General features: G+C 43.3%; 1 protein-coding gene across 1 annotated transcript in view; it reads left to right on the top strand.

Moving 5' to 3' along the window:
• SLC31A1 (solute carrier family 31 member 1) overlaps positions 1–7,689 on the top strand; it is a 42,949-nt gene extending 35,260 nt beyond the window's left edge. The window contains exons 3-5 of the mRNA NM_001859.4: positions 310–382; positions 1,891–2,059; positions 3,469–7,689. Of these exons, the coding sequence (NP_001850.1) occupies positions 310–382; positions 1,891–2,059; positions 3,469–3,670 (444 nt within the window). The 3' untranslated portion in view covers positions 3,671–7,689. The remainder of the gene's footprint in view (positions 1–309; positions 383–1,890; positions 2,060–3,468) is intronic.
• Positions 7,690–8,901: the final 1,212 nt, after the last annotated feature.

Consider the following 8,901-nt stretch of genomic DNA (forward strand, 5'->3'; position numbering starts at 1 on the left):
TGAGCCGAGATCTCGCCACTGCATTCCAGCCTGGGCTACAGAGCGAGAATCCGTATCAAAAAAAAAAAAAAAAAAGATAAAAGTTGATGGTGGGGGCCCAGGAGAAAAGTTGATGGTGGGGGCCTAGTAGAATACTCATGCTCGGTGCCTGTGGTGGTAACGCTAACATGAGGGCAAAAGCCTCCCACTCACGTGAATGTCTCTTATTATCCAGATCTTCTACTTTTAAATGTTCTAAGCTTCTTTGCCCCAAATTCTCATTTAGAATTTTCATTCATCTCTAACTGACTTGTTTTGGTTTTCTGGCAGCCTATGACCTTCTACTTTGGCTTTAAGAATGTGGAACTACTGTTTTCCGGTTTGGTGATCAATACAGCTGGAGGTGAGTAAGCCATTAGGTAGTGTTGGAAGGTGATAGTCACATGAGAGACAGTGACAAATAATTTGGAAGTCCAGCACCTCTTTCTGTCCTAATTACTAAGTCAACATGGTAATGATGCATAACCATCTTGGTTCCTATTTCCTACCTAGAAGGTAGGAAACACAGTACTTTTTTGGTCCTCTGGTAAACCTCTGTTAACTAACATGTATGTTTTGGAGCTCTAAAAAATAATTTAGATACCAGATAGAATCTTTTGCAATCCATTTTCTTTCATTCTTTTCCAGAGTGTTTAATTTTTTTTTTTTTTTTTTTTTTTGAGACGGAGTTTCACTCTTGTCACCCAGGCTGGAGTGCAATGGCAGCTATCTTGGCTCACTGCAATCTCTGCCTCCCAGGTTCAAGCGATTCTCCTGCCTCAGCCTCCTGAGTAGCTGGAGTTAAACAGGCACCTACCGCCATGCCTGGCTAATTTTTGTATTTTTAATAGAGACGGGGTTTTGCCATGTTTGCCAGGCTGGTCTCGAACTCCTCACCTCAAGTGATCCACCCACCTCAGCCTCCCAAAGTGCTGGGATTACAGGCATGAGCCACCATGCCCGGCCTCAGAGTGTTTACTTATTTGATAAGTTATTAGTCCTGGACATAAGACTAACTCAAATTAAGTACCACAAAATAAGTTTAAAACTATTGTTCTAATACTTCAATTTTACAATAAATTAAGTGCCACAAATTGTGAAATGACTCGCCATCAATCATAGAGTTAATATGTCAGAGCTAGGACAAGGACCCAGACCTTCTAGAGCTACCTAGACCAGTGTTCTTTTAGTCTACCAAACTATGGCCCACATCCTTCCTGATTCTTGGCACGGCCCATCTTAGACACTCCTAGTTTTGAGGTAGATGATTACCCATCTGTTTGTGTCTATTATGTTGTATGGTATACTTTAAATTTAACTTGCGCAAACTCAATAGTCAGTTGGACTGCCTTAGGTACCAGATGTCTGTTTGGAGCCATAAAATCAATTTGTTTTGGGAAGAAGGAGAGCATTTAGTTCAGGTAATGTGTTAAATTAGCAGTTTGAATACATTTATATCATTACCAACACTTCACAGTGTGAAAGACTTAGAATTGAAATGCCTATTCAGGAAATGTAGTCAGCCACTGATGAAACTAAATTGTTTTATTCCCTGTTCCATATTCTACATTGTGTGTTTCAGTGTAACAAACCTAATTTAATGATATCAAGCAGTCTGACCAAAAGGTTATTGTTGTTCTGATTATTTTTCTTATCTTAATCAGAAAGTAAATATGTTCTTGGCAGAGGCAATAGTTTTCAGTTACACCATCTTAGCCGTTCTCCTATCTGAGCAAGAGAAGAGGTAAAAATATAATGTCTTCAAAAGCTGAGAGTAGCATTTTTTCTATGTGTCTTTCTAGCTGGACAGCACATTGGCTAATGATTTTGCACATGTTTGACAGTACCTCCATATTTTCCTTCCATACTTAGAAATGGCTGGAGCTTTTGTGGCAGTGTTTTTACTAGCAATGTTCTATGAAGGACTCAAGATAGCCCGAGAGAGCCTGCTGCGTAAGTCACAAGTCAGCATTCGCTACAATTCCATGCCTGTCCCAGGACCAAATGGAACCATCCTTATGGAGACACACAAAACTGTTGGGTAAGAACTGAACAGATCCAGATGAAGTCCTAAAGAACTCGATCAGTTAAGCAGCAAAGCGCAGCTGTGTGATCAGCAGCAGCCCTCTTCTTGAGTTAGGAGTTCTGTATGACCTTGATCAAAACTGTCCTTGGAGGTTTGGGTTTGTAGGTCATGAGCAGGCCAAAGGAGGAATGAGAGGGAGTCTTCTGCAAATATGAATGTTTGTTCTGAGTTGTACGGATTGGCCACTTTGGAAGAAGGGAAGTGAGGAATCCATATTTTAAAATATTTACCAAAATAATAATGAACAAGTTAAGAAATTCAGATCAAGATATAAAAGAATGGCAGATTGCAGTTGATTCTATAAAGTTACACCTAGTCAGCCCTGTCCTCTTTTTCTTTACAATGTAAGACTGTATTGATTTCTGTGTTCTGTCTAAGAAAGTATTTGGATGATTATTGGTTTTTCCCATAGATTGGCAAATGTTTTTTGAGATTGTTTTAATAAAAATGTAAGTCTTAAAACCAAATTGGACCTTAAGAAATCCTATAGACTGATATCCTGCTTTCAAACAAGCAGTGTTATTTATTGTACTGATGAGCTTACTGGGGCCCAGAAGGATTGTGACCTACCTAAGGTGGCACAGGGGATGAGTAGCCAGGTCTCCTTATCCCTAATTAAGTAATTTCTTCTATACTACCCAACCCTCAATTCTATTTTTTTTTCTTTTTTTCTTTCTTTTTTTTTTTTTTTTCTGGAGACAGGGTCTCCCTCTATTGCCCAGGCTGAAGTGCAGTGGCACTATCTTGGCTCACTGCAATCTCTGCCTTCCAGACTCAAGTGATCCTCCCACCTCAGCCTCCTAAGTAGCTGGAACTACAGGCATGAGCCACCACACCCAGCTAATTTTTTTTATTTTTTGTAGAGACAAGGTTTCGCCATGTTGCCCAGGCTGGTCTGAAACTCCTGAGCTCAAGCAATCAGCCCACCTCGGCCTCCCAAAGTGCTGGGATTAAAGGCATTAGCCACCACCCCCAGCCTCTGTTTCTGTTTTTGTAGAATGTAAACTTTGCAAAGGTGGGAAGCCTAAAAATATTCGGGCAGATGAGCGTGAGAGGGTTTACGGCTTCCCTTTCAGGATCTAAGGTGGAGGTAAGTCGGGATTACTCCTCGTCCTTTTCTCCTCCTCCGGAAAAGGGTTCCTTCTACTGGAGGAACCACAGCCATATCTGGCCAATGTTTATAAGCCTGACAGCCCTGTGCTGTTTCATTTCCATGGACCAATCAAAGAACATTCAAGTACCCATGAGTTGCCAGAGTGGCTGTCCAGTTCCAGCTGAGCTCATGGCAAGAACTCTTCCCTCTTTCTCCTGATCTGCAGAACTCCTAGGAGTCCCTGATTGTTGTGTCCCTGTTTACTCTCCAGGCAACAGATGCTGAGCTTTCCTCACCTCCTGCAAACAGTGCTGCACATCATCCAGGTGGTCATAAGCTACTTCCTCATGCTCATCTTCATGACCTACAACGGGTACCTCTGCATTGCAGTAGCAGCAGGGGCCGGTACAGGATACTTCCTCTTCAGCTGGAAGAAGGCAGTGGTAGTGGATATCACAGAGCATTGCCATTGACATCAAACTCTATGGCGTGGCCTTATCGATTGCAGTGGGAAGTTGTTGAAGACTTGAAGACGTGATTCCTGCTCCAATCATCCCTTCTTGCTCCTCTTTGTGCACGTACACACACACACACACACACACACACACACACCCCTGCTCAACAGAGGTTTAGTTTACAGTCTCTGAACTAAAGTAGTAACCTCCCAAATTGTTTTTTCTAATAAGCTGAGATTCCCATTTCTCTTAAGGAGAAGCCACCCATGAGATGTCTTTTCCTTCTCCATCATCTTAGAGCCAAGTTATATGTTCTTGTCTAATCCATGTAGCTTTTTGTTCAATGACTTGATCATCTGCTTCCTTTTTGAATTTTTAACAGATAGTAAGTAAATTTGGTGGTTTTTTCCCCTGGGTCAGTGATGGAAAGGGGTTAACTTCAGCCAGGATTGATGGCAGCTGAGGGAAATTCTTGCCCAACTAAACCCAGAACTCAAACTTAACATTAGAAAATAAGGTCCAGGGCCGGACACAGTGGCCCATGCCTGTAATCCCAGCACTTTGGGGGGCCAAGGCAGGCTGGATCACCTGAGGACAGGAGTTCGAGACCAGTCTGGCCAACATGGGGAAACCCCGTCTCTACTAAAAATACAAAAATTAGCCGGGCATGGTGGTGGGCGCCTGTAATCCCAGCTACTCAGAAGGCTGAGGCAGGAGAATCACTTGAACCTAGGAGGCGGAGGTTGCAGTGAGCCAAGATGGCGCCATTGCACTCCAGCCTGGGTGACAAGAGTGAAACTCCATCTCAAAAAAAAAGAAAAGAAGGTCCAGCTTTTGGATTCAATGAGTGGGAAATACATTGTGCCTTTCTCTAGATGTGATACGTTATACCAAAATCTTTGTAGTGTGCAGAGCGGTGGTTTGAGACTAAATACAGGCTTAGAACTTGCAGAGTGTGTATTCTTGGATGGCTGATGCATCGACTTGCATTCCCACTTAACACTTTGATTAGCATGAACTTGCCAATCAAAAAATGACAATCAATTTGAGAAAATAGAAATAGATATTTTTAAATAAAACCATTCACAGTTTACTTTGTCTTGATACCTTGGTTTGTCCCAGCTGAAGTGAAGCAAGAGAGTTTGAATTAATTTTTCCATTATAATGTTTTCGCATGTCTGCCTCTAAAACTGTGATTTTCAAGCTTTAGCGTGCATCAGAATCACCTGTAGGGCTTGTTAAAACACTAATTGCTGGGCCTCAACCCAAAAGCCCCCAAAGTGGCACTTCTGAGTTCCTGCTGATGTTACAAGGGACCACACTTTTGAGAATCTGTGCTTTAAGCTAAGGAAATATTGCCTGGTGGGTTGGCTGCCTGGTATTGGGCATGGAAATTTGAATTGCTGATTGGTAGATGGTGTGTCTGGACTTAACTCACGTAGTAAATACTGCTGATCAATACCTAATCATTCCACATTTATTGAGCTCCACCTGTGTGTATGTGTACCCAAGCACACATGTGTGAAGGGCTATAGCCAAAGTATTTTTACTAGCCTGTATGAAATCACTAGTCCTTATTTTTAAAGGTCTATGGTTTCTTGGAAGTAGTTTGATTGTTGAGAGAGACCTTTGATCTGCAGTGTAAATCTACCAGTCATGGGCCAGAAGGGCAAAAGCCCAGCTTTCTCTTTGGAAAGACTCAGGCTGTGGTTTGTTGATGGCCAGGTTTTCCTCAGGCTCCAACAACTGTGCTTATACCAAGCAGATCCTCATCCTCCATATAATCATCTTTGTTATTCGTGGGGGTTTAATTACATTACAAGTGGCCAAAACCCCTGTTCTCAGTGAAGAACCACATTGGATTTGTATTCTGTTCAGTTGTAGTCTACACTGCAGTCTTATTCCTGGTTCAAACTACCTCTTTAAATTGATTTGTCTTGTGCTGGTCTGTTAAATCCTGCCCTCCTTGGTGCTAGATCCAGTTGTGCCTCAGGGCAGAGGAAACAAAACACAGCTATCCTGTTGGCCTGTGTTGTGGTTTTGAAGTTTGTACTTTCTCTGTGGGTGCCAGTTAAATATTGGAGAGCAAGGAATGTGGACTTGTATGGCTTTGAACCAAGAGAGGGTTATGAGCCTACTGGATTGAGGTTAAAATCCAAGAACCAACATTTAGAGCTTTGTGCTTTTCTCTCATTCCATCACTTTGTAATGATGATACTTAACATGAGCAGGGTGAATGACAGGTACTGACGAAGTCCAACACAAAGGTATAATACAGCCTGTTGTCTAAAGCCAAGGAGTCATAAAACCATGAGAAATAAATAGGAATCAATAGTTAGTAGTGACATTGGTGCTCTCTAGAAATCTCAGCATGAGCTGCTATAGAATACCCTCCCAGCAACAAAACCTAATCAGTAAGGCCAGCTAGACCCAATGGCTCATGCCTGTAATCCCAACACTTTGGGAGGCCAAGGTGGGAGGATGGCTTGTGTCCAGAAGTTCGAGACCAGCCTGGACAACATAGTGAGATCCTATCTCTATAAAAAATCAAAAATTAGCCAGGCATGGTGGTGCATACCTATAGTCCTGGCTATTTGGGAGGCTGAGGCAGGAGGATTGCTTTAGCCCTGGAGGTCGAGGCTGCAGTAAGCCATGATTGCGCCACTGCACTCAGCCCGGGTGACAAAGCAAGACCCTGTCTCAGAAAAAAAGAAAATTCAAGGCCAGTTAAGACAAAATGCTATGACTTTGAAATTCACAGAAAGAAATAACAGTTTAGATTAGGTCTTCAGGTATTCAGGATAGAGATAATCTCCTGAAAAACCTGAATTTCAGAGATTCTTAGACTGGCTGCCAAAGGATGAAGCTAGTGAAGGAGAAAAAGCTTAAATTCCATCTTGAGCTCTTGGATTGTGATAATACAATGATTTCATTAACTTTTCATTTCTGTATACCTGTTCATTTGGAATTTAATGCTTGACTTCTTTGTTCATTTTGGATCTAAACTTCTCTTTTCTTCCTTCCCCATTCACATCTATTAGAAGACTGCATCACCATTTCTTTGGCCCCCTTACTCTGTTGTCCTTTCCCTTTTCTTTCAGTTTTTTTAATCGCATGTCTAGTATATTAAGTCTCCATAGCCCTCCTGATGCAGTAGACAGTGCTATGCTGTGGATATAATACCAACCAGAAATTGGCATTTATAAACCTGTTAAGAGACTTTAAGCATGCTTCAAGAGGCAGTTGACCCACTGGAATTTCTATAAGGCTGGTACCCTTCCCAGAGTTACAGAATCTTAGGTGCCGTCTCTAGTCTGTGAGGGAGGAACTCCCAGCATCCCCATTGCCCACAAATGGAATCCTCACTGTATCCACTAGGAGATTAGAAATTAAGGTTTCTTCACTACTTCTATGGTAGGGTTGTCTGAAATTCCCTTTCAGGCTGTGGGTACTGGTCTTGGGTTCTAGTCATAAGGGGTTCCTTATAAGGAGCAGGCGGAGGGGAGTACACTTTCATGTGATTTAATTTTGATCCTGCCCTCTCCAGCTGCTCCTTCAAAAGATACATCAAAAGATAGAAACTCTGGGCTGGGCACAGTGGCTCACACACTTTGGGAGGCCAAGCGGGGGTGCAGATCACCTGAGGTCAGGAGTTTGAGACCAGCCTGGCCAATGTGGTGAAACCCCATCTCTACTAAAAATACAAAAATTAGCTGGGCGTGGTGGTGCATGCCTGTAATCCCAGCTACTCGGGAGGCTGAGGCAGGAGAATCGCTTGAACCCAGGAGGCGGAGGTTGCAGTGAGCCAAGATGGCGCCATTGCACTCCAGCCTGGGCGACAAGAGCAAAACTCCGTCTCAAAAAAAAAAAAAAGATACAAAGTCTGCATTTGATATAATGCCTTAATTACTGGGTCTACAATTAATGTTGACTGTTTTAGATTGTAAGCTCCTGGAGAGCAGTATTGCTGTAGTAGGAATGTTTTAACAGTGTCATATGAAAAAGAACAAAATAAATATTTTGATTTTGTGATTCTATGCAAGTCTTTCTGCCCAGAGTGATAATGCAATAAGCTAGTCTTTTCATAGTCTGCATAGAGTCTGGCCATTACCATCAGTTTTTAAGATGTCCATATTGTGGCCGGGCGCGGTGGCTCACGCCTGGTAATCCCAGCACTTTGGGAGGCTGAGGCAGGTGGATCATGAGGTCAGGAGATCGAGACCATCCTGGCTAACACGGTGAAACCCGTCTCTACTAAAAAAAATATTAAAAAATTAGCCAGGCCTGGTGGTGGGCGCCTGTAGTCCCAGCTACTTGGGAGGCTGAGGCAGGAGAATGGTGTGAACCCGGAAGTCAGAGGTTGCAGTGAGCCAAGATTGCACCTGGGCAACACAGCGAGACTCCGTCTCAAAAAAAAAAAAAAAAAAAGATGTCCGTATTTTAGGTGGTATGATCCTTTTAGGTTTTCATCTCACTCTCCCCCTACTCGACTTAAAATGACATGCCTAGTACATGCCAGAAGATCCATGTGACCTTCTGCACAGGAGACAGGGTCTTCATGAAGCCACAAGTATTTCAGTATACTGAGGATTCCTCAGTTTAAAAGCCAACTTTTGTCACATCATAATCCCTTCCCTGTGTCTGCTGTTAGGCAAGAGGCTCTGAGCTGGGCCTATAAGAAGTTCACCGCCCAACCTTGAGATGCACAGTGACCCTGCCAGTCCCTTTGGTAATGCCAAAATGCTGACGTTACTTGCTCTTCCCACTGGCCCCCAGTGGGCATCTTGCCATCACCACCATTCCTAGTCTCTTCCGAGTGTAGTGTCATGAACATGGACTTAGAGGAGTCAATGAGTTTGGATTCTGGTTCCATCACCTACTAGCAGTATGACCTTAGGAAGTTAGTCTAATGATCCCTAAGCCTTAGTTTTCTTATTTAGAGATGGAGTCTCACTCCGTCACCTAGGCTGGAGTGCAGTGGTACAGTCTCGGCTCACTGCCACCTCCATCTCCTGGGTTCAAGTGATTCTCCTGCCTCAGCCTCCCAAGTAGCTGGGGCTACAGGCACACACCATCATGTCTGGCTAATTTTTGTATTTTTAGTAGAGATGAGTTTTTGCCATGTTGGCCAGGCTAGTCTTGAACTCCTGAGCTCAGGTGATCCGCCCGTCTCGGCCTCCCAAAGTGCTGGGATTGGGAAAGGTGTGAGCCACTGTGCCCGGCCATAATACCTGTTTGAATTAGGCACC

The sequence above is a fragment of the Homo sapiens genome, chromosome 9 (genome assembly GCF_000001405.40).
Source record: "Homo sapiens chromosome 9, GRCh38.p14 Primary Assembly".
NCBI classification, from domain to species: Eukaryota; Metazoa; Chordata; class Mammalia; order Primates; family Hominidae; genus Homo; species Homo sapiens.